The sequence below is a fragment of the Homo sapiens genome, chromosome 2 (assembly GCF_000001405.40).
Source record: "Homo sapiens chromosome 2, GRCh38.p14 Primary Assembly".
NCBI lineage: Eukaryota > Metazoa > Chordata > Mammalia > Primates > Hominidae > Homo > Homo sapiens.
This window is the reverse complement of record NC_000002.12, coordinates 100,469,364-100,495,441: the sequence shown is the minus strand read 5'-3', so window position 1 is coordinate 100,495,441 and position 26,078 is coordinate 100,469,364. Positions and strand designations below refer to the sequence as shown.

Genomic DNA, 26,078 nt, shown 5'->3' with positions numbered 1-26,078 from the left:
GAAAAACTAAGCACAGAATTAAGGTTGCAGAATATCTCACCTTGGGAAGAATGCTGAGCAGTTAATGTGTATTCCTGTTGCAGTCAAGCTGGTGCCAGCCAGACCAGCAGACGGTTCATTGCTCAAGATGGTCATCAAGACTAGATATACTGACCCACATATAGTCAACCCATGCACAAAGCTTCTCCATATCCTCCCTCCTATAAAAACCCTCTGGCCAGCTTGGGAAACTTGAGATGGTCTTTGTGACACTAGCCCACCATCTCTTCAGGTTGTCAGCTCCTGAACAAACCTGCTTTTCCTCTCACCAACTCTTGTCTCTTGAGTTTGCCTTTTGAGTGGCGAGCGGCCAAACCTGGGTTCAGTTATAAGAGGGGATCTTATCCCCTGATAAAAAGGTACACTTTACAATCCTGTCCATCATGTAAGTGCCAATCGAGGGTAAAATTACTCTCCTGTAGCTCTCCTTCCCACAAACACTTCTCACTCTTCTTCACCTGCTTAAGGTCCTGCTTACAAATGGGAGTGCTTCCCTCAGCCACCTCCCCTTCTGAGTCTGCAGCCGCGTGGTCTACCAGCTGGCGGCCCAGTGACCCAGCATCTGTGTTGCTGCCATGTGCTGAAAGCTTCCTCCCCTGAGCTTTGCTTTATTAGAACAATTTCCTAAATTCCATTTCACCAACATCCAGAAGACAGAGATGAACTATCTAAATAAAATAACTCCTACCATCTTTTCCTTCAGTTCCTATTGATTGTGACTTAATCTCTTGAGGCAAGTTGATGGGCTTAATAGTAAACTGAAATACCAAGAGTTAGCAAAGGAATCAGAGAATTGAGTACAAATAAAATTGTTCACAAGTGGAATTTTTCCAACTCTCCAAAGGGGTTGGTTCAGGGCATGCATGCTTGTTTTCTTTCTTATCTTACACAAGGTAAATACCTTTAGAAAGACTCAGGAAGCCAGACTTTCTGAAGAATGTTGGGTAGGGAAATAATCTGAAACCCTCAGCAAAAGTGGAGGAGGGTCCCTTCTTAACCTCCCCCAAATATGCTGCCCACTGGGACTTCTTTTCAGCCCCACATTAGATGCCACCCTGGCTTTACCTGGCTGTGGCAAACCCTTGCCTTGTTGTGCTCTTACACAAGGTACATCACCTCCACCTAACAATTCAATGACTCTGATGATAGGGATTGTGGCTTTGTGATTTCACATCCAACTGGGCCCTGTACCTTCATCCCATCTGATTGCGGGACTCAGCCCAGGGATAATTCTGTGCCCCTGTGAGACAGCTTAGATGGTGACAAGCTACAGATATTGAAGCCAGTGGGACCTGGGTTTGAAGTCTGACTCTGCCATTTAGTGAAAGACCTTGAGCAAGTATGTAATTTCTGTAAGTCTAAGATTTCTTATCCCCTAGGGATAATACTCCCACTACAGCAGAGACTAGCTAGCTCTCTGCCAGCTTGGCCTCTCCTTCCAGGTCACACAGGTAGATTGCATTTCCAGCTTCATTTGCAGTCAGACACAGTTATAGACTGTGTTCTAGTAAAAGAAATAGCCTGGGCCGGATGTGGTGGCTCACGCCTGTAATCCCAGCACTTTGGGAGGCCGAGGTGGGTAGATCACGATGTCAGGAGATCGAGACCATCCTGGCTAACACGGTGAAACCCTGTCTCTACTAAAAATACAGAAAAATTAGCCAGGCGTGGTGGCGGGCGTCTGTAGTCCCAGCTACTGGGGAGGCTGAGGCAGGAGAATGGTGTGAATCCAGGAGGCAGAGCTTGCAGTGAGCCGAATCGTGTCACTGCACTCCAGCCTGGGCAACGGAGAGAAACTCCGTCTCAAAAAAAAAAAAAAAAAATAGCCTGGTCCATAGAAATTCTCTTTCCTGACATACTGCCTTCTCTCCCTATCCTCTCACTACACTGTTGAGAACTCACTGGCCCTGGAGCCAATCTTGAGCAGAGCCTATAAGGCAGAAGGATCCAGACTCTGAATAACCAGACATGCCTGCAGGAGACCATGTGAGTGATGGAAATAAAACTCTGCTGGGGTAAGTCACTCAGATCTCATGGTTTATGTGGCAGTAACTAGCATTACTCTAATACTACTTAGCAGGACTGTGGGAGTACCCACTACCATGCCTGAAAGAGTACATACTCAGGAAACATAACTATTCCAGGCTTCCAGAAATGGAAACTCAAGGCAAAATATCTGTGATGCGGCATTAGTGTGTGTGGATATGTTTGTAATTGCACATACAGCACACTTACTGAGAACTTATATTCATTCTTTTTTTTTTTTTTGAGTTGGGGTCTCACTGTCACCGAGGCTGGAGTGCAGTGGCATGATCTCAGCTCACTGCAACCTCTGCCTCTGAGGCTCAAGCAATCCTCCCACCTCAGCCTCCCAAGTAGAACAGACTACAGGCACATGGCGCCACGCCTGGCTAGTTTCTTCTTCTTCTTTTTTTTTAAATTGAAACAGAGTCTCACTCTGTTGCCCAGGCTGGAATGCAGTGGCATGATCTTGGCTCACTGCAACCTCCATCTCCTGGGTTCAAGCGATTCTCCTGCCTCAGCCTCCTGGGTAGATGGGATTGCGGCATGCACCACAAAGCCCAGGTAATTTTTGTATTTTTAGTAGAGACAAGGTTTTGCCATGTTGACTTGGCTGGTCTCAAACTCCTGACCTCAAGTGATCCACCTGCCTTGGCCACCCAAAGTGCTGGGATTACAGGCGTGAGCCACCATGACCTGGCCCCTGGCTAGTTTTTTATATTTTTGGTAGAGACAAGGTTTTGCCATATTGCACAGGCAACATGTTTAATCATAATATCAGGCTTATGTTGTAGATGCTATCATTTGCCCCATCTTACAGATGAGTAAACTGAGGCTCAGAAAAGTTAAGTAAGTTTTCCAAGATCACACAGGTAGTTGTCAATGACAGAGCTGAGCCCCTAACCCAGCTCTTAGACCTCTAGTGTACTCAAAGGCTAATCACTAATTTGATGCAGAAGAGGGAGAGATTTCAGAGCCCAGTCACAGCAACCTGCTTACTACAGGTAGAAGATTGTCCCTGAGTAGAACATTTGCTCATGCTGTAATAATAATAATGAAAATCAACAATGAGCACTGAGTACTTAGGAGGTGCCAAGCACTGTCTAAATAAATTATTAACAAGAATTAGCTCATTTGGCCAGGCACGGTGGCTCCTGCTTGTAATCCCAGCACTTTGGGAGGCCAAGGCGGGCAGAGCACTTGAGGTCAGGAGTTCGAGACCAGCCTGGCCATCATGGCGAAAACCCATCTCTACTAAAAATACAAAAATTAGCCAGGAGTGGTGGCATGCACCTGTAATCCTAGCTATTTGGGAGGCTGAGGCACAAGAATTGCTTGAACCTGGGAGGCAGAGTTTGCAGTGAGCTGAAATTGTGCCATTGCACTCCAACCTGGGTGACAGAGGGAGATTCCATCTCAAACAAACAAACAAACGAACAACAACAACAAAAATCAACCCTGCAAGGTGGTTTCTCTTATTATGCTCATATTAATGGTGAGGAAACTGAGGCACAGAATGATGATAGTAAGAGGCAAAGGTGGAATTTGAACCCAGTCAGTCTGTTTCTTGGTTGTGTGTGTGTATGTGTGTTTGGGTTAGGGTGAAGGAGGTTTGTAGTGGAAGAAGGCATGAAGACCCCTCTGCTATGCCCTCTGCCCTCTGGTCAGACCAGTATACTTGTCCCTGGAGCATACCCTGTATAGTGCCACTTCCCTATCTTTGTGTTATCCTCTTTGTTAGGGACACTCTCTCTTCCATCACCATAGATGGGCATCCTATGGATCCTCAAAGGACCACTTCAAGAACCACCTCTCTCCTTGATTCTCCTGGACACAATCTCTTCCTGTGTTTTCTTTTTTTTTTTTTGAGACAGAGTCTCGCTCTGTCACCAGGCTGGAGTGCAGTGGTGCGATCTCAGCTCACTGCAACCTCCACCTCCCAGGTTCAAGCGATTCCCCTGCCTCAGCCTCCTGAGTAGCTGGGACTACAGGCGCATGCCTGGATAATTTTTTTTTTTTTGTATTTTAGTAGAGACAGGGTTTCACCACGTTGGCCAGGATGGTCTCGATCTCCTGACCTTGTGATCCTCCCGCCTCAGCCTCCCAAAGTGCTGGGATTACAGTCATGAGCCACCGTGCCTGGCCTCTTCCTGTGTTTTCTTATAAATTATTTTCTTCATATATAAATTCTTACTTTTTACACAATTGACATCCAAGGTACCTGCCACCACTTTAAGAAAAAAAATTTCCAGTATAGTTGAAGCCCCTCTGTAGCCTTTCTGGTTTGTATCAGTCTTCCCAGGAGTCACTGATCTCCTAAATTTGATGTTTATCCTCACCAAGGTGCTGAACTTATATAAATGTTATCTTGCTGTAAAAAGCATCCTGCTTGTTTCACTCAACATCATGATTTTAAGGCTCGTCTAACTTCATGCAAATGGTTCATTCATTGTCACTACTCTATACATTTGATTTCTATGAATAACACAGCATTTATTCATCTCTTGTCTTGTTAAAGGACATCTGAGTTCTTAATAACCCTTTTGCTTAACAAACCATGTGAACACTCTTGTCCTTGTGCCTTCAAGGACTTTGCAAGACTTTCTCTGGTACCTAGATATTACAAAGAGTAATGTGGCAGTGGAGACTTATGGGACCAAGATCTGATTGACATATAGGCCCAGAAAGGAAAGCCGAGTCTTTGGGGCTGGTACATCTCTTCTAGGGATGTCTGAAGATTTCAGGAAAAGTAGTTGTGATATTGAAAATTGGGCAGCAATTTATGTCACTCCCATGGGATGAAGGGGTAAAAATTACAGACTAGTGTGTGCAATGGGAGAACCCATGACAAACTCTCAACTATTTCAGTTAGGACCCTAAAGAACTGTAAGAGTAAGAGTGGATAATAAATAAAAATAAGAGAAATAGCAGACAGTAGAAACTGACATAAATGAGATGGAGATAATATAGTTATCAGAAACTGACTCTAAAATTTTCTATGTTAAAGGAGAAAAAAAGATGAAAAATTTAATCAGAAATCTAGAAATTATAAAATGAACAAATAGAAATTCTGTAACAGAAAAATATAATAGCAAAATTAGTAATACAGCAGTGGTCCTAGTAATATAAGATATACAGCCAAATAGAAATTAGTGAACTGGAAGTTAAATCAAAGGAAAATATTCATCATGAGCACCAGGCAGTCAAGACAGTGTGGGGGATGGATAGATTGCAGTGAACAGAACTAATATAAATGTAATTGGAGAAAAAGAAAGTATCAATATCAATATTTACAGAAATAATGGCAGAGAATTTTTTAAAGCTGACAAAATATATCAGGCAATAGAGATATGACATCCTATGAACTCCAAGCAAAGTCACGCCCAGACAGATTAGCCATAGAAGTAAAACTTTTGAAAACCAAAGATCAGAGAAAAATCTTAAACGCAGCTAGAGAAAAAGCAAGCGAGCAAACAAACAAACAGATTAATGGGCAGTAAATATGCCTTGCCCTTTACTCTGGAAGGAGACATTGTCTGTATCTTCCAAGGCAATTCTCTGCACAAACAACCTTGAAAAGACAGGAAGAAAGGGAAATCAGTGTCTCTGCTCCCAAGGTGTGCAGAAATGCAGGAAACCCATAGAGGATTGTCTCCCAACAGTAGCAATCTTCTTACAGTATTACAAGTGATAGAAATTGAGGATGGAGAAGGAGGTTGAAAATTTAACCAAGGTCTGACAGCCAGGATTAAACCCAGGCTTTCCGACTCCAGAGCCTAAGGTCACATACAGATGAGTTGCACAGCAGGAATGGGAGGGAGCAAAAGGTCCACTCTTCTTCCCTGTGCCACACAACTCCTGAAAAATTGTGTATTAACTGCATTGGTATGAATATAATTCTATACGTTCTCCTTGAGCTGCTTTCAGGAGGGATCCTCAGTCTATGGGGAGATTCAGAGGAGGTAGAAATTGCCCCCAAACAAGGTGCCTTTGAAAATTCGTGTTAAGGCTGGTTCAAGGCCAGTCTTCGTTTTGGAATATGGGAGAGGTTCTCTGGGGTGTGATGTCTGGGGCAAGGAGTGGCCAGGGCCTGTACCTCAAAACATCTCTTCCAAGAACCCAGGGGTACCCTGTTAAGATACAATTTCTAGAATGAATTATTAAACAATACATTTTTCAATAAATGGAAATAAGAAAAGTGATCACTAAAGGTCAGTTTGGTTCCTGGGAACAGTCCCACTGTTTTTATCTGTCTGAAGACAAAGTGAATGCCCCATGAAGCTGTGAGCTCCTGCCCCAGAGATGTTGAAGAAGAACATGGATAACCCCCACCAGAACTGGGGGGCCCATCTGCTCTGGCCATGGGTTTGGATTTACAAAGTCCTCCAATGTCTCCAAGGTCTCTTCTCCTTCTGATTCTGGGGAATAACAGGGAGAAGAGTACCCACTCACCCACGATAAGCTATTGGGCTTCACTCGGGACTGGCTTGAGTGACAGCACAACCTACACCTTATGCAGTTCCATTATCCCAGCCAGGATTGGTGGTTTAAACTATAGGTTTTATTAGTATTCGGATATGGTGAGGCCAACAGATCAGGAGGCAACTGCCATTGAAAAGATTGTTATACTCAGGCTCAAAGTTCTCAAGAGGAAGGGGCCCACCATGCCATGCAGAGGGGTAGAGGGGACTTGGGGAAGTCCTAGGGTCAGTTGGGAGGCAGAAGTAATGGAGGAAAACATGGCCAAGAGCCTTTATTGTGATTTTCATGGGAAGGAGCAAGCCAGCCAGTTTAAGAGGGCTTGACATTGGCTAGTTTAAATAACTTCAGCAAATTCAGGGGCATAGAGGCTGTCCCTAGTTGTCTGGCACCTGGCCCTGGGTGAGAGCCTTATAGAGAAGGTGGTTGGGGACATGGGCTCTGGATTGGTTAGTGTGCATTTGAAAGGCACATTCATAAGCAAGGTGCTTGCCATTTCCAGGGATTATCCCTGGGAGGGGCAGTCTCTCCAGGGTCAGCAAGTCCCCAAGATGGCAAAGCATCAAAAATACAGAGTAAAAATAAATGATTAATACACTTTGTATCTAGCAGGCATTCAAATATTGAAAGAATGAATGAATGAATAAGTGTTTGCACCAGTGAGATACTGAGCGGACCTATTTGAAAAGAGAGAGTGGAAGAATGGGCTCCGGATGTGGGACTGCAGAGGACACTTGGAACAGGGGCCAGCAAAAGGACTCTGAGCTCCAGAGGGGAACAACAAGGAGTAATCCTAAAGATGCAGCTTGAGCTGTGGCCCCCAAAAGATATGTCCACAACCTAATCCATGGAATCTATGAATGGATCTTCTTTGAGAAAAAGATCTTTACGAAGGTAATTAAGTGAGAGACCTGAAGATGATAATATCCTAGATCAGGCCAGAGCCTAAATCCAGTGATGAGTGTCTTTATAAGAGATGTGAAAGGGAGAAGACACAGACACAGACACAGAGAGAAGGCCATGGGAGGGCAAGGCAGAGACTGGAGTGATGCTGCCACGAGTTGAGAGGAGCAGCTGGAGCCACCAGAGGTAGACGAGGCAAGGCCAGACTCTCCCTTGATGTTTTCGAGGGACAGTGTGGCCCTGCCAACACCTTGATTTTGGACTTCTGGGCTCCAGAGCTGTAAGAGAGTAAATCGCTTTTGTTTTAAGCCACCAAGTCTTGTTTATTTGTTATGACAGTCCTATAAAACTATTAAATAATACAGGATAGTAATATTACAGTGGAAAAAGCAACTAGGTTTTTAAACAAAAGACCCAGGCTTCATCTTAGACATGCTGCCTGTTGCTGTGTGGCCTTGGGCAGGCCACTTTGCCTTTCAGGGCTCTTTTCCTTGGCAGCCCATGAGAAGGCAGGGCTGAATGATCAATGAGACCTCTGCCCACTCCAAGGTTCTAAGAAGTCCCTTTCACAGCTCTGTCCTGGCCAGACATGGACCCCTGATCTTGTTGAAGGCCACAACGTGACCCTGTGCAATGGGCTGGGGTGTGGCCTCTCCTGGTAAAGTGAGTGCCAGCACTAAGTAGGCGAGCATCCTCCATCCAGTGACTGAATCTGGGCCTTGGATTCAAACTTATTAGAAAGGACACTAGGGTAGAGTAACCTTATAAGGCTCCTTTTCATGGGAAACCAGGCCAAAAGCAGCCCAGCTCCATAGGTGGGGAGGCCCAGTTCTCACAGTGTAGAAACTGTCAATTAGAGTCTCATTTCATCTCTGGATTCATTGGCACTGGTAGAGTGTTGCTGGACACTGCTGTGGGAAAAAAGAGTGAGGTGATGTCTGGGAAGGCAGAGTCTGTCTCCAGCTCCCTAGCATCACAGACAGGCTTTGCCAAGGAAGAGTTTTTAGCTCACATAGTGTTCCTGAGAAACAGGGGTCTCCTAGGCCTGCCCCACTCTCTTTAACCATCATCCCCCTGGCCTTGTGTCAAGGGTATGGACCCTCCATTGAGGTGGGATTTATTATTACTGGTTTAGCAAAGAGGATTCTGAGGCTCTGTTTGGGGTAGAAACTACTATCTTTGGTCAACTCCCAAATCCTGAGATTGTTTCTGAAGACTGATGTTAGCAGCTTCTCACACCAACACTGTACTCTGTTCATCAAACCCGACCTGCTCCCTACAAATGCTGAGCACTGGGCCAGTGGCTTGGTCCCTCCCCTGCACCCGTGCACTCAGAAAAATACCAGGCAGAACTAGGTTTGCTCATCTCATCTCTGTGTGGCAAGATCTACTGAGGGGTCTTAAAACATCCTATTCAAGAAATAGGCTTCGGACTTAATACAGAGGCTTACAAACGCTAAAATACAAAAACAAATTCTAACTGACATTTTAAAAGGAGGACTTTTAAGTTTGATGAAGCTCTTGAGAAGTTAAAAGAAGGAATAGCCAGTGTGATTTAGGTCATGTCATTAGGGTCCCTCCTTGCATTGAACACACATCTTCTGCCTCATCTCCTCCATAGGATAATCTTGGGAGGTCTTCTAGACTCCTTCTAGTCAAATGCAAACACAGATATTTACAGAGGAGGAGGCTGAGAAGAAAGGCTGAGTGAAACCACCTTTGCAAGGATTATGACAGTAAGACAAATCTTGCATGGATGACTCCATCTTGCTTCTAACCCCACAGGCTAGCTGTCTTCACTCTTTGCTACGCATAGGCCAATCTAGCCGTGGGAGGAATTTAGTTCATAGTTTAACTTTTTGTTGTTGTTGTTATTCTTGTTTTGAGATGGAGTCTCGTTCTGTTGCCCAGGCTGGAGTTCAATGGCGCAATCTTGGCTCACTGCAACCTCCACCTCCTGGGTTCAAGCAATTCTCATGCCTCAGCCTCCCAAGTAGCTGTGATTACAGGTGCGTGCCACCACGCCCAGCTAATTTTTGTATTTTTTAGTAGAGGCAGGGTTTTGCCACATTGGCCAGGCTGGTCTCAAACTCCTGACCTCAGGTGATCCTCCTGCCTCGGCCTCCCAGAGTGCTGGGATTACAGGCATGAGCCACTGCACCAGGACCATAGTTTAACTTTGAAGCAAGGATAATAGTTTCTCCTTAAAACTAACCTCCTTCTTGCCATGAGATTAGGATTATATGAGGGGCATGAATTCTGCGAAAATGTCAATGTCATTTCTGTAATTTCTTATTGCTCAGGAGTCATGTGGCCAGAGGTCTCAAGATTTGTGACTTCCCCAATTGCTCCTACAGATAACGACACTATTGTAGAACCTCAGATTGAAATGTTTTTCAGACTTTTGCATTCTGGCAATTGACTGACCCCATCCAGACCCATGACTCATGACTCAGCTGGTCTTGTGTCCCCCACCCAGAGGCTGACTCAGAGCATGAGGACCCTTTCCCACACCCCTATGACTTCATCCTCAACCAACCAGCAGCACCCACTCCCTAGCCCCCTGCCCACCAAATTATCCATAAAATCTCTAGACTCTGAGTCTTTGAGGAGACTGATTTGAGTAATAACTCTGATGCTTCCACTTGGCTTGCTCTGCCTTAAACTCTTTCTCTACTGCCATGCCCCTGTTTCAGTGAATTATTTTGTCTGTGTAGTGGGCAAGAAGAACCCATCAGGCAATTACATGAGCCTTGTGGCTTCTTAAGAGAATCTGGGGTTGCTGTGCCTTAACTTAATGCTGTCAGCAATAAAGAAACAGCCCTAGAGTCCCTTTGGTACACGTTGTGTGATGAAAGCCATCTGAATATAATCAGAGCCAATGGTTATTTACTGTTCACTGTGTCCCACCATGCCAAAATGCTCCCATATGGACCACCTTCTTAGTCCTCACAAAGTCTATGTGAAGAAGTTACTATGATTACCATACCAACACCATTTTACCATAGAGGAAACCGAGGCACAGGAATGGGAAGTGACCTGTCCAAGGTCACCCAGCTAAAAGTAGAGGAGTCAGGATCTGGAGCCATCCTGCCTATCCCAATCCCATCCCTCAGTCCTCAATAACAACAAGATAGATAGCTAGGCCATGCTAAGCCAATGCCAAAGATGGTGAATTTTAAAAATATGTCCTATTATTAAAAAAATCATATACCCGATCCTCCCATCCCCCAAGACTTTCCAATAGGATATGAAAATAACGTGTCAGTGTGAGTGGAAAAAACAGTGTTTCCTCTGCTCTCATACCCAATGCCTGTGGGGTTTTCCTCCAAGCAAGCAATCAGTTCTGCAGCAGATATCAGCTGGTGCCCTCCAATTTAATTCCGACACCATCTACCTGGAGATGGCGTCAGATCCCACAGGTTCAGGGCTCAGTCCCCAAGACTATGCCCCACTTCCAACACCAGCCACAAGCCCCGGGTTATTTTACCTGTGCTTCTGGCCAACAGGCTATGAATTGGGGCTCCCATGACCACCTCCTGAAGTTTGACTAATTTGCTAGAGTGGCTCATAGAACTCAGGGAAACACATTTACTAGTTTATTATAAAAGGTATTACAAAGGATACAGATGAGAAAATACCACCCTCCAGCAACCTCCATGTGTCCAGCCATCTAAAAGCTATCTAAAACCCTGTCCTTTTGGGTTTTTATGGAAGCTTGGGGTTACATAGTGTCCTCCTTAAATAACGAGATTCAGTAAATATGATTAAATACAGAGTTTATTCTATTTTAGCTCAAAGCTTGAGAATAGCCACCTGGAAATGCCAACTCCAGGCTAATGGAATCAGCATTCTGAAGTGGAGAGGTTTGAGGGTTGTTGATATTGGCAAGGTTTCAGGAAGTTCAATAGGATTTTAACGTTGTCCGGACAAGGTTAGTGCATAGTTACAACAACTGGACTGGTTATAGGCTGTGTTCTTTTTCGGGATGGGTATTTAACATCCCACATTGAGGATGTAATAGTCATGGGGTCTTCTGCGTCATCTGGTCTGAGTTGAGTGCAAGACAATAAAGGAAGAAGTTAATCTCTAACAAAGGTCAGTAATTAAGAGCGGAGGGGTCTTATCTCTGGTGTCATCCAGTCTTTTTTAGTCATTTTACAGAACAAAAAATAAGGAAGGGAGTTCATCTATAATTGGAGAAGCCAAAGTGGCAGCTGCATGTTACACGACTGAGGCCACACAGTCACATTTCTCTCAAGGCTCAAATCATTTAAAGTTCTAACAGCCTTAAGTTTGAATTGTTTAATTTCACAATAGGCATGACTGATTAAAACATTGGCCATTGGTGACCAACTGAACTTTCAGTGTCTCTTCTCCCTGGAGATTGGGGTTGGGCTGAAAGTCCAAATCCTCTAGTCCTGCCTTGGTCTTCCTGGTGACCAGCCCCATCTCAAAGCCACCTAGGGGCTGCCAGCCTCTGCCAATCATCAGCATACAAAGAAACACTGAACATTTTGAAATTTTCAAGAATTTTAGAACTTGTATGTCAAGAAATATGGACAAAGACCAAATATATATTTCACAGTATCACACAATGCTACTTTATTTTTATAAAGCTAAATATCTAGTGAATATAGAGCAAGAGAAATATCTTTAAATATTGTTCGTGGAAAGAAATTTGATATTTGTTCAACATAATCCCTGGAAGGCCTCATCAGATCCAGCTTTCTTTCACCACTGAATCCTAAAAAAAGAAAAGAAAAATGCACTGCTCAGTTCAAATCATTCTCGGAATCAAGACAAAGCCCATGGGCAGGTTATTATGTAACATATTTTACAATTAGACCTCAGTTTGAAGTGTCATAAATGCCCAGGTTGCTTTCCCCACAATCAGTACTTACAAGATTTGTTTTTGGTCTATCTAATTAGGGCATTAGGTTGGTGTAAGCACTATGGCCTCAGGGAGCATCTTTGCTTTGTGTTTGCTGGGTACTGCCATTTCCCAGCAGTGGAACAGCTTTCTTAGACGCCTTGGACTGCTGGGACCCTGACTACTGACCCCTGCTGGCAGCATCCATTGGACAGCAGCCTTATTTCCTTGGGACCACATCCCCATGAGAAACAGAGGAGGCCCGGAGCTGCCCTTGAGCATTCACTTCATCTTCCACAGGCCTGAAGGCCAAGGAATCGTTCCAGATTAAAACTCTGGATCTCAGAGCACCATTGGAAGGGGGAAACAGCCTTGCCTGGCCGTACTTAGAAATGATCTCACTGTAGGGAGCCTGGTAGCTTCCAGAACTCCTTGGTGCACCATCCAAGCATGACAGGGTGGTGTTTCCTTATCAAGGGGGCCAGGTGAGAAGTCACAGAGGGCCCAGCTGGGCTGCAATGAGCCTGCATCCCCATCGCAGTGACAGCTGGAGACCACATGCCTCCGAAGAGCTGGGCATGGAAGTGAAGGCTGCAATATTGCCCAGACAGCCTGCATCTGCTAGGCTGGGGTGGGGGTCTCTGTGGTCCTGTGAGCAGGAAAAGGGAAGGGGCAGAGTTCCTGGGGGTTATGAAGGGTCCTCATTTCTTGAACAATGGTCCTCCCCATGGCTGCCTCTCACTCTCTCCAGTCAGACACATAAAATTTGCTTGAAAGAGAAAAAGGGTGATGAAGCTGATCTTGGACTACCTACTGGGCCTCATCTTCAATGTTTCTTCCATTCCTGGGCTGAAAAAAAAAGGAGCAACTTATGAATACTGAGACACAACTTTCTGCAGCCTGTATCTTGATTCCGCTCTTCTCTCTGTTGAACCCTAAGGCCTCATTCTTCTAACTAGGACTTCACTCCCCTCCATGGGGACTCACCTGGGAAGCCCTCGCCCTGTGCTAGCGCTAGTCCGTAGGTCCTCTGGGACAGTGCTCCAGGAACCTCACTGCTCCTAGGACCCCAACACTGTCACCCATCATCCCCCCCCTTTAGTCTTTGCTTATGTGGTGGGAGGTTCCACAAACCATCCAACACAGAACTGCCCAGTCTGGAGACGTCAAGGAGATGGACTGTTTCTCAAAGCACTTTCTAGGAAACGAGTAGGTCATACAGACCCATGGGAGTGAGAGAGTGGTGGGAAGCAGCTCCATGGTCCATATGTTTGGGAAACAAATGATTAAGCCAAGTGACACAGGTTGTGTTCTGCAGGACTTCTTACAGCCTGTGATGGGCCAGTGTGTATTGTGAGACATCACAAATGTCGGGTGCAGTGTTTTCCAATCTTAGCTGACTTTTGCAGAATACTTTTTAGCGCCAGTGATTCACAGAATGCAGTTTCTGGGGGGCATGGATCTAGTCTGATTTGCTCATTTTTTCTGTGCAAATACTGAGAATCTCAAGGGTGGAGCACAGCTAGTGAATGGCTGATCAAAATCTAAAAGATAACTCTTCTGACTCTGTGACCTTTGCAAGAATCTCTGTCACCCAGGAAGGAGTAGAGGATGGTGCCTAAGCTCCTCCTGCCATGTGTTTTTGGGGTCACGAATCCTAGACCTTAATGCTCTAAAACATGGGCTCAGATTCTGGTCTACCTTGTGTCTGTCTGTCAGAAGAACTCCCTTACGCCTACTCTGGTGCTCTCAGCCTCTCTCCTGTTGGACTCTTGCCTTTGCAAGATTGTAGGAGGAGATTTTTACTTGGAGTGATTCCCAGTGAAGGATGAGAGAGTCTCCACAATTATCCACCAGTTTACCAAGGGGTCCTGGCTCTGCTGTTTGCAGTCACTCCATGATTGGGATGGCTGCAGTGAATCGAGGTTAGAAAGCAAAGGTGAGAAAACATGCTATACCCTGAAAAGGAAAAAGGGTCGTCCCCAGGTCGCAGTGTGATCCTGCAACATATAGAAACACAAGCCATTATGCAACCATATTGCATTACAAGTTCTTCAAAAATGTCTATAGGAACAGTTTTCAAAATGGGTGGTCCCAGACCAGTGGCACCAACAACCTCTGGGAACTTGTAAGAAATACAAACTCTTTGCCCCAATCCAGACCCACTGAATCTTTGGGGGTGGGGCCAAGCAATCTGAATTTTAGCCAGGTGACTCTGATGCATGGCCACGTTTGAGAACCACCGGTGTTTGGGGTTTGTGCTCTGGCAGTACCTCTATTGGAGTCTGTACAATGGCATGTGGGCCCCTGAGCAAGAGAAAGCAAGGCCTCAGTAGTAGCTGGCTCCAGGGGACTCATCTCTGGGGCTGGAGGTGAAATATGAACAGCCAGAGGCATTGCCCTAAGGTTCCTGTCTGCCCCAGGGAAACCTGAACTTAATTGCTCAGCCACAAAAGATTCTCAGGGTCCTTTGGAGACCAGCTCTGCCCAGAACTGGTCTGGAGGGGCTGCAGGGTGGCTGGCTCCAAGGACTTCCCCACCCTTCTCGGGTAGGGCTTTCTTTGGGGGTCGCAGTCTCCAAGGCTCTTGTGTACCTTCTTGGTGAAGTCCACTGCAGCAGTCCCCGAGCCCTGCAAGGAAATGAGGCACAGGTTAATTCAACAGGAACCACATCATGACCTTGCAGTTGTCTTGCAGTGATCCTGCCCTCCCTGCCTTGCTTCTAAGATAGTCAGAAGTCTGGTGCAAAAGAGGAGGTGGAGAGCATGGCAAATGGTGGGATCACTGCCGTGATCTTCTCTAGCAAGCTCCTGCTCAAGAAGGCAAGCTTGTCGTCTTGACTGAGTTACCATCTGTGTCCAAGTACGTTAAGTTTGCTTGCTCCTCCTAACAGCGCCAACTTCGAAATGGGCACATTGCAAAGCTTAGGAAACTTTTAAAGGATTAGCCATTTTAGCTTCTTCAGCTTGTTCATTGCCTGTGAAACTGGTGTAAGAATGGAATCAGACTGGACCTGGAGGCTTGCGGTTAGCAGGGGGTCAGACAAACTGCTGCTGGTGCCCAGGATGGCCAACCAGTTTTCCAGGTACTAGGGGCCCTGGGATTTTCAGAGCTAAAACTAGGAAAGTCCTGGACAAACTGGGATAGCTGGTCACTCTACCTGGGCAGGGTGTTCAAAATAAATTTTCTCTCTTGCTATTTGTTTATTTATTTTTGCTACCATGAAACAAAACTTTGATTACCATTGAAAAGGTTCAGCTGGTAATTTCTAAATTAAAAAATAAAAATGAAAGAAGAAAGCTCTGAGAAATGGACAACGGGCACCTAGGGCAATGGGAAGCAGAAGATATCGCCAGGGCGTTTCGTGTCAGGAGAAAGAGACAGGGGAAGTGAAAAAAAAAGTACAAAACCAAGACACAACTTAGGGATGAAAGGAGCAGAAGAGGAGAGGGATGGAAGCAGGCTGGGCCATGGGGTCTCTCCCCGGGCCCTTCAAACCACCTCATGGGGTTTCAGTGGAGGAAACTGAGGCCCGGGGAGGTCAAAGGACCAGCAGTTCTGCTCAGTGCTCCCTGCCAAGGTGGAGACTAAGATTTGAGGAGAGAATGACAGCAAGCCCCAAGGTGACAGCATGCTTTTACCACGATTCAATGAACTGTGAGGGGCATAAACTATGGTGGAAGAATAAAAGCACGTACTCGCTGCAGAATTCTCTTCATCCGCCTGTTGGCGAGCTTGGCAGCCAGGTGCATTAGAGGATGCACTGGAGGAAACTGCAACAGACAGGCGCGGAGAGGGTCAGACAGGGGGACATCCACAGAGGGGTATTTTGAGAGCCCAGGGCTATGCGCATTTCTTTCTACTCACTTCCCTTACAAATGGGTTTAATTTTCAGAGTAAAACCCATTTTTGAGCCAAAGCCTGAAATTTTATGTTTTCAATAAAGAGCCGCTTGCCGTGAGAACAGGTTTCAATTCCAACACAGCCCTTAAAAATATTCCCTTAGGGTAAATCGGACTTTTCTCTGCATTAACCCTCAGCACTCTGCTCCTGGAGCGGAGCGCCTTGTCCTAGAAGCAGCTCCACATGTATTCTTTCTCCCTCTCCAGGGGTGAGCTCCTCATCCAAGGGAAAAGGTGGAGGGCAGCCCCCGTAACCCTCCCCAAGCACTTCTGATTTCCTAATCTTGTCTGTGACTGCCGTGCGTACCCAGGTGTACACGCCTATCCTCATCTAGTCCTTGTGAATCCTCCCTGTGTACTTTGGTTTAGAGTAAAATTTGATTTGTGTTACAGTTTTTTTGTTTGTTTGTTTTCCATTGTTCTTTCTCCTTTCATGTGCCCTTGTTGGTCTTGATAATATTCCCCTCCTTGGCCAGGTGCAGTGGGAGGCCAAGCAATTTGGGAGGCCAATGTGGGTGGATCACCTGAGGTCAGCAGTTCAAGACCAGCTTGGCCAACATGGTGAAACCCCGTCTTTATTAAAAATAAGAAATTAGCCAGGTGTGGTGGCACGTGCTTGTAGTCCCAGCTACTTGGGAGGCTAAGGCAAGAGATCATGGCTTGAAGCCGGGAGGCGGAGATTGCAGTGAGCTGAGATCGTGCCATTGCACTCCAGCCTGGGCAACAAGAGTGAAACTCCGTCAAAAAAACAAACAAACAAAAAAATTCCCCCTCCTTACCTGAGCCCTATTCCTACATCTATAATACTGATTGATTCTTAGGGGAAACATTTTTTTCCTGGTTATTTGCTTTTTTAAGGATCCTCTTAAGACTTGGAGAGCCTTGAACATATAAATAAGAGACTTTCTAGTGGTAGAGTTTTACTTGCTATGACAGGGTACCTGAATTAAAAGTTATATTCTGGCTGGGCATGGTGGCTCACGCCTGTAATCCCAGCACTTTGGGAGGCCAAGGCAGGTGGATGGCCTGAGGTCAGGAGTTTTAGACCAGCCTGGCCAACATGGTGAAACCCCATGTCTACTAAAAATACAAACATTAGCCAGGCATGGTGGCGCATGCCTGTAATCCCAGCTACTTGGGAGGCTGAGACAGGACAATCACTTGAACCCCGGAGGCGGAGGTTGCAGTAAGCTGAGATGGCGCCCCTGCACTCCAGCCTGGGCGACAGAGCAAGACTCTTCTCAAATATATATATATATTCTATGGCCTCTCCAATATTCCTCAAATCATACCCCATAGAAATTCACCTACACAAGCTGCTTTCGAGGGTAACTCAAATCTGTAGGAAGAAATTAAGAGGTGATGGTTTCTATTCCCTTTGCACATACACATCGCGACAGCCACGGAAGATGTTCATCCATGGATCACCACTGGGGGATGGTACCATACACATCACAAAGCACAAACTTAAAAACAGATGGCAAGAAAAAACAATGTAAAGAGAGCACAGTGTTTACCAGGCTCTTCCTTACCTCTGTTTAAGTGCATAATAAGAGGTTATTTCCTACTTATTTTTCCTTTTCAGTAATTTATTCTCTAACTTCTCAGATCAGTTGGCCACCTACCACCCCCAGCCCAGAGGGAGAAAGAGAATCCCTGCAGCCCCAGGGAAAAGCCCCTGGGAAGCTACTACCCAGAGGATGTCCGGAGCCCCCAGCTTTTCTACTTGTCTGCACATATTAAGAAAGGATGGACGACATGCAGAGGAGAGCCACTTTTACAGACAGATGATTATAATAAAATACTGACCCCAGTTTTAACTGGATGTGTTGCCTCCTGAGTTCTGGAGTAGTGAAACAAAAACTAAATAAGAAAAGAAAGTGATATTAGTATCGAGTGTCACTTGCTCTAAACATGGAAGCTGCATGCACTTGTACAGGGCTAGGTGGTACTCACCCTTTTGTATATGTCTTGATTATCCTGGAAAGAGAATTGTGAGGGTAAGTTAGATGAAATTTTACAGGGGCAGGTAACGGATAACGTTTTCTGTATAAGGTACACCATGGACCTTAGTGGATTTACCTGACTATTATGATAAATTGGCAATCTAAAAAGAAATTATTACGTAAATTTAATGAGTCTATAGTTGATGCAGGATCTTACAATAAGGAAAATTGCCAGCAATACATCATCATGTGAAAATATAATCTCATTTCATCTTTTCAGTTTGCAGGGCGTGGGGAGGAGAGACCTACTCTCTGATGCATAGAAGCAAATAACCATCTGACTACAGGTGGAATAAACTAACTATTACAGTTTTTAATTTGCCGCAGAGTGTATTCTAGTATTCAGTTTTTATAGTTCATATTGGTCAAGCTTCTTTTTCTCCAAAAGCTTTCTACATGAATTTTTGCTATCCTTGCAGAAAGTCCAATTTTCCGTTTCTAAATCCTTGCCAGTGCACGCACCTCAGCCCTGGCTTGCGTAGATGATGGCTGCATGTGCGCTTATCTGACTCAAGGAGATGCCGGGAAGAAGACTTCTTACAAAACCATAGCGTAAGTGTTCATGTCCATGTTTTATAAAGTCACAAGAGATGATTACTGTGAACAATCATTTAAATCTTCTGATCTGGTTCGTACTGATCATTCACATCTCACTCATGCTTAAAGATTTTTGAATCTGCTGAAACCTCAATCAAGACAAAAATTAAAGTTGTTAATAATACTTTAATAATAATTGTGAATACAATTACATCTTTCTGCAAACTTTGTGGAGAATTTCTTCAGTGGAAGAGAGCAATACCTATGCATCCTCTCTCTCTACCATGTACATATGTGTGGATGCACAAACATGAGCACACACACACAGACACACACTGTAATCCACCAACATTACCAGTAGTGGAGGCTCTGTGGCAATTAACTCTATTTCCTTATAATCACCATTTTTAACTAGCAGAAAGTACTTGCTATTTTTACAGCTCCTGGTCTTCTTGTCAGCATCTGTTCACAACAGTGTGTGTGTGTGTTTATGGACACTTATTGGGCAAACAATTGTTTTTTGTACCACATTCATCAGCTGTATACTGTTATGTTTACTTTTCAGGTCAAAAATTAATGAGGAATGTGAAGATGCTTTTCCTGGTGCTAAATACCCGGCTCAACGTTTCATATGCCCCTTACTTTACTTTTTTCTTTTCTTTTCTTTTCTTTTTTTTTTTTGGAGATAGGGTCTCGCTCCATCACCCAGGCTTGAGTGCAGTGGTACAATATTGGCTCACTGCAGCCTCCACCTCCCAGGTTCAAGCGATTCTCCTGCCTCAGCCTCCTGAGTAGCTGGGATTACAGGCACACGCCACCACGCCTGGCTAACTTTTGTATTTTTAGTAGAGACGGGCTTTACCATGTTGCCCAAGCTGGTCTCGAACTCCTGACCTCAAGTGATCTGCCCGTCTCAGCCTCCCAAAGTTCTGGGATTACAGGCATGAGCCACCACACCCGGCCTACTTTTTTCTTTTTAGAGAAAAAATTATTTCAAAGTTTACTGATCTATGTTGTTTATTATTCATTTTCCCAACTAGTATACAAATGCCATGAGAGCAGGTGCTCAGTTTGTTTTACTACCCCATCCCTAGCACCTGGTCCGTGGCATGCTGTCAATAAATATATATTTTGAATGAGTGAATGGTAGAGCCCTGTTCACAAGAACTTATTGCAGTTTTCCCAGTTGAAACGTCTTCTAATCCCATGTGGTGACCAGAAACACGAAACATGAAGAGTTTTGTGGATGTCATCATTTGCAGAATGTGACTGCTTTCTGAATTGTCTTGATTTAAAGGTCTCCTGGAGTCACAGACTTGGCCTATTCTGGAAACCAGAACAGGAGTGAACTTAGAGCTCCAGCAACACATCCAGACTTTGGGCAGTTGAGGAAACCAAAGCCCCAAGAGACGAAGTGACATGCCAAAAGTCACATTTCAGGGAAGCAACAAGCCAGGAAGAGCCAGTTTCTCTATTAATGCCTTTAAATATTGGCAGTTTTGTTCACTGAGTGACCCCTTGCTCTTCTGCAGTTGGAAACAATGAATGGGATAGACTTGGAAAAATGGAGAAGATGGAAGGAAATTCATTCCTAGTGGGCCCTTGCTCTTGGGGATCCTCATAACCCAATTTAATACTGCAGGTTGAGCATGGGACAGCCACACTACTTCCACTGCCTCTGCTGGTGCAGAGGACACCCCCAGTCTTCACCTGAGGGATAGGGAAATCCCTTTTGTGCAACATGTGGAGGAAGTAACAAAGGGATGAAGAACTCTGAGTTTTCAGCCTGAATTTTTGCTCCAGGTCCAAGGCTGTAAAGATTATTCTTGAAAATGAGAGCTAACAATTGCCTTCAAACATATGCATAGTAAACCAAAAATAAGAAGAAATGGGCCTGATGTATTCATGAAATTTGAGAAACTGATGTTTGAGTCTTGAAGAATGAGAATTAGTTGCATTAACAGGCAATGGCAACAACTAGCACTTAAGTGCTGTCATTTACCACGTTCTGGATGCTGTTGAAAGCACTTCACAAATATGAAGCATTTAATCCTTACAACAGCATTCTGGGATACTATGACAATTACCCCTATACTACAGATGACAAAACTGAGGCACAGAGCAACTAAGAAACTACCAAGTTTAAACAGAGCTGGATTTTGAAACCAGGTATTTTTGTTTTAGAGTCTGGATTGTTAACTGCAGCCTGTGAAGGAGGCAAAGTCATTTCTGACTAAGGAAAAGATTGTGCAAGGACGTCAAGGGCCTGGTGCATTTGGGGAATACTGATAGATTCACTGATAGATTCACTGTGGCTGGAGCATAGTGTGCTGTGGGTTGGGGGAGGTGAGGGATAAAGAGATGTGGCTCAAGGTGAAATTATGGAGGCTATCCTAGGCATCATGGGCTATCCTACCACCCTTTTGTACCTTCAAGTAAATCAACTTACTTTATATCCATTGAAATATTTGTGTGGTTACTACAGTTACTGTAAAGTTTTTTGTTTTCATTTTGGTGAGATAGAGTCTTGCTCTGTCACCCAGGCTGGAGTGTGGTGGCATGATCTCGGCTCACTGCAACCTCCGCCTCCCGGGTTCAAGCAATTCTCCTGAGTAGCTGGGATTACAGGTATGCGCCACCTTGCCCGGCTAATTTTTGTAGTTTTAGTAGAGACATGGTTTCACCTTGTTGGCCAGGCTGGACTCAAGCTCCTGGCCTCAAGTGATCTGCCCAGCTCGGCCTCCCAAAGTGCTGGGATTACAGGTGTGAGCCACCAGGCCCAACTAGTTACTGTAAAGTCTTTTAAATGATAACTATTGTTTTGGAGAACTGCTATATCATGGTATATCAATTTGTAATATGCAATATATCATAACATATAATTAGCTTAACTATACATGATTATAATAATTGTAAGAATATACATGAACTACCCATATTTTATAGTAATTTATATTGAAGATACTTAAGATATTTAACATATTTATATTTAAGATATTTGCTTGATTTTTTCTAAAATTATATTCTTGAACACACATAAGCATGCACATACATACAGCATTCTCCTGTAGGTAGCAAAAGAGTGTGTTTGTTGCATATATATATATTTTATATATATTATATATATACACATTTTTTTACCTTAGGTTGGCGAGAAAGAGGTGCCCACTGACTCAGACAATATGCCAGCTGCTAAAAAATAAAATGAAGAAAACAAATCAAAGGGATGAGGGGGATGAAGAGAGAGATTGATTAATGGGTAATCAAATACAATTAGATAGAAGAAACAAGGCCTGGTGTTTGATAATTCAGTAGAGTGACTATAGTATAAACCATAATCTATGGGATATCTCAAAATAGCTAATAGAGAATAATTCAAATGCTCCCAGCATAAAGAAAATGTAACTATTTAAGGTAAATGTTTAATATCCATCGATATTCCATTTCCCCCAACTTGGTTGTAACACACTATATGAAAGTATCAGAATATCACATGTACCCTGAAAGTATGTACATCTATTATGCATTTAAAATTTAGACAACGAATCAAAGATAAGCTTAAATTCTTCAGTCAGCAGAATTTTATTACAACAGATTTAAAATTCTAAAATTGTCCTATTTCTGAACCTCACATTATTTTCTCACACAGTGGTAGTGAATTTCAACACAACCCTCAGGATGCCTTAAATGAGGCCATGAAAAATGGCAACAGTGAGTTTCTGCTGCAGCCAAAAATCTGATCTCAAAATAGTTTTAAGTGAACATTATACACATGATGTATTCAAGGTCCAGACTAAACAAAAATCTCACATTACTGAATAATTGGGTACCTCAAGCTGCACAATATCCAAGCCATCTGAAGGATCAGCTAAAGGTTGAGGAAATCCTATTGTGAGAAATCATAAAATTATTAATTAGAGAAAAGAGGTCATAGCATTTACTTCAAAGTCTTTATCATGAAAAACAGACATTCTGTTAAAATAATAAACCACCAAAGAACCATTCAAAAGAGGTCAGTGGGAAAGTAAGATCTGATCTGATGTTGTTAAAAGGATTTACAAAGAAAATACACTTCTACTTGCCACTAGCAAATCTGAGATTTATACAAAGATTAATTTAAAATAGCATGGTTGTTAATTTACCATGAGTGTTCAGTACAACTATTAGCAAGTCAGCAAAGAGGAGGAAAAAAATCCAAGGTAACAACTTAGTTTGTATTTTGATAGAATTCATGAGGATGGCATCTCAGAAAATGGTGTCAACAAAGGATGGACATCAGAATCACCTTTGAACTTTGAAGACACATGGATACCCGTCTCTCTGCTGCTACAGACTCTCTAGGGATGGGCTCTGGGGAAGGCTGCTGGCATGCAGCTGGACCCTGTCAACCTTTTGTCTAACTTCAATGAACTCCTCTTCTCACTTGCCTGTGATACAACACTTGGTGGGATAGCTATAGTGCAGTCGAAAGAATCAATTGGATAGGTCAAAACTAACAAGATGAAATTAGATGGATAAATATAAAACCTGGCACTTAGATTTTTAATGTGTGGAACAGGGAATGTATGGCTCAAGAGCAGTTTATGTTTAAAAACAAGACAAAAGAAAATTGTATGGTATTTTGTTCCCTGCGTTCTCTCTGAGCCAAGATAAAGCAAAGGCAATGTTATGTTATATTCAAATAACAGTGCCTAAACCTTAAAAGATAATAGCCTGACTTGAAATGATAAGATATGAGGTAAAGGCACTGAGCATAGTTTTCTCTGGAAACAGGAAAATTAGGAAGTATATGTTAACTGCTTTCAACTATTTTGAGAACTTCAATAAGTAAGAGATATTAGTCTTATCCTGTGTTTCCCCCAAATAACAGAATAAAGACTGACGGTTAGAAAGTTACATGTGATCACACTTAAGCTTAGCCTAAAGAAGTTTTTGGTGATTGGAATCATTCAATAATGCAAAGTAATGCAAACCAATCCTATAAGGATTTATGGAGAGGTTCTTTGCTAATAAAACGTAAAGACTTACCCTCAGGGAACATAAAGTCAAACAGGAAAAAATAGGGAGGTGAGTATAAACATATAGAAAGATACATAAAAGGTAATAACATATTTACAAAAATGTAATATAAACAGGACTCTACTGGAGCAAAGAGGCAGAACCTGGCTGTCATAGCTGGCAGTGAGTTGGGGTCATTGAAGTAGTTAAATAGAATCGGGAAGCTACAGAAGGGATCCCTGCACCCTGTGAGAGGTTAAACCAGATGACCTTCATGGTCCTTTGCAAGGCCCAGTTTTGTGATTACATTGTAGGACATGACAAACAAACATATTGTTTGAAATATGTTTTCTCTGTCAATATATTACCAAAGATTTTCTACTCCCCTAAGTCAAAATTCTAATGGAAAAATGTAAAATGGTATGTGTTTCCAACCGTAGTTGTTCTGCCACCGCCCACTTCCCTGCATCCTATGAAGATGGTGGTAACAGATTCCAACCACAGACCCTCACTCCACCCCTGTTCCCTAGAAGCTAGTTCTCAGAGTCGGTGAGGCGATGCCCGCACCCGGTCAGCACCTCGGACAGCTCACTGGCCCCGGGAGGTAGCGGCTTCCGGTACACTCTGGAACCCTGCTTCTCTAAAACCCAATGGAAAGGCTTGGGAAAGATTCCTTTTTCCAGTGTGCGCTCCTCCCGCGCCCTTCTCGAACTGCCCATCAATTTCCACTCTCTGGGGCTGTAAGCTCAGTTTTACCAACTCTGTCCTCGTCTCTTCAGAATCCAGGGAGCAGAAATGGCTACAAGTGGGATCTTCCCCTAACTCACACCAGGAAGTGCCTTTCCCTTCAGTTTTAGCGACACATGTTCAGGACATCCCTAGGGCAGGAGCAGCTTAAAGACAGTCCCACAGGGAAAAGTCTCCTTTAGTAAAAGGCTGCAGCATCTCGCTCTCTTGATCCTCTCCTAAAGGTTCCAACAAATTGCAGCCAGAAATCAAGAAGGTCTGGCGGGGGAGAATAAAGCTTGACTCCCTCCAGAGCTGCCCTGGGGGATCAAGGTCTGTCTCAGACATCCTCAGAGTTTAGGCCAGATGGAGTCTGAGGAAGCTCCCCTTACCTGAGGAGGGAATCTGTAGCATGCAGAAGCAGTAGATGGCCAAGATGAGAGGGAACTGGGGACGAAGATGTTTCATTGTGAGAGTCTGGTTTCTCCTTGCTGGCCACAGACAGGTGCTGCTAGGACAGGAGCCGCGCATTTCCCCAAGGTCCACAGGCAGAGGCAACCCTCTGTCCTGCATCTGATCAGCCCAGCGAAGAAAGTGCCTTTATTTGCAGCGCCCCGGAACCCACTGGCTGATCACCAATCAGCTTTGCACAGGAGGACCCCGGCTTTCTCATAAATGTCATGCTGAGCCCTTATTTGTAGAATAATATCTTTCTGGAGTAGGCATTGTAGAGAGCCATGTTTTACAACCCAGCAATGAAAATAAAAGGTGGAGAGTCCTGATTGTTATTCTATAATGATCTGAGAAATATTTCTGAATCAAGAATGGCTTTTTCTCTTTTTAATAAAAGAGATAAAATAAAAAAAGGACACAAATCTCTAAATTATTGCTTGATAAAGTCTTGTTTCCTACGAAGCTGTTTATTTTCCACCTCTAACAAAGGATGTTGTGTTATCTTGGTGCATTTAAGAAGGACAAAATTTGGAGTCTTCTGTATAATATTTGTAAAAATCTAAAGTTCAATTGGGGCTCTGTTTGTTTTTTAGATCATGGCTGGAAATTAGCCTCTTTAAGGTCTTTCCAGATTCATTTTAAGGAACAAGTTAAATATTTCAAATTGTCAGTATTCAGGAAAACATGACAATGTTTAATAATAATAAATAACTTCATCTACTGAGCTTCTACATGTTGGGATCTGTTTTAGGCATTTCACATAGGTTATTTCATGTAATTCTCACAGAAAATCTATTAGGAATGTGTTATTACCCTAATTTTATGAATGAGGAAACAGAGGCTAGGAAAGATGAAGAAACTTGTCCAAGGTCATCCAGCTATCAAGGATCAGAGAAGAAATTTGGACTCAAAGGTACCTGAGCCCAGTCATTTCTGTAAGAATATGGAATTTTAATTGATAAGTAATTTTTTAAACATGCTTCCTTGGGATTAGACATCAGATAGAAAGAAGAAGAAAGACTGAAGTCTTCTATTTCTTGCAAAAAGGGCAACATACATAGTATACGTGAAACAAATATCTTTTGTTTTTTTCATTATGCATATCTTTATTTTTTTTTTCTTTTTGAGACAGAGTCTCAC

At 43.7% G+C, this 26,078-nt stretch overlaps 1 protein-coding gene and 1 long non-coding RNA gene across 3 annotated transcripts; one reads left to right on the top strand and one right to left on the bottom strand.

The window, feature by feature from the left end:
• Positions 1 to 1,228: 1,228 nt before the first annotated feature.
• On the top strand, positions 1,229 to 19,409 carry LOC105373506 (uncharacterized). Of its 2 annotated transcripts, none has more exons than XR_923098.2 (5): positions 1,229 to 1,378; positions 1,935 to 2,054; positions 7,153 to 7,434; positions 18,644 to 18,776; positions 19,327 to 19,409. It is a non-coding gene; the product is annotated as an uncharacterized LOC105373506 (long non-coding RNA). The 2 variants fall into 2 exon arrangements; XR_923097.1 differs by having other exon boundaries at positions 1,237 to 1,378; positions 7,150 to 7,434.
• On the bottom strand, positions 12,162 to 24,960 carry NMS (neuromedin S). Its single transcript, NM_001011717.1, has 10 exons — positions 24,878 to 24,960; positions 22,592 to 22,647; positions 21,903 to 21,953; positions 18,175 to 18,198; positions 18,028 to 18,081; positions 16,015 to 16,089; positions 14,911 to 14,946; positions 14,275 to 14,316; positions 13,131 to 13,165; positions 12,162 to 12,190 (listed from the first exon to the last, which is right to left on the bottom strand). The coding sequence occupies exons 1-10, from the start codon at positions 24,951 to 24,953 to the stop codon at positions 12,178 to 12,180; spliced, it is 462 nt and encodes a 153-aa protein (NP_001011717.1). The 5' UTR covers positions 24,954 to 24,960; the 3' UTR covers positions 12,162 to 12,177.
• Between the last annotated feature and the right edge of the window lie 1,118 nt (positions 24,961 to 26,078).

Excerpts from the sequence above, each read along its gene's own strand:
- NMS (NM_001011717.1), bottom strand. The coding sequence starts at position 24,953 with ATGAAACATCTTCGTCCCCAGTTCCCTCTCATCTTGGCCATCTACTGC. Across the intron at positions 18,199-21,902 it reads CTCTTTCTCGCCAACCTAAG|GATAATCAAGACATATACAA; the intron begins GTAAAAAAATGT and ends TTCTCTTTCCAG. Across the intron at positions 18,082-18,174 it reads ATCAAGACATATACAAAAGG|TTTTTGTTTCACTACTCCAG; the intron begins GTGAGTACCACC and ends TTTCTTATTTAG.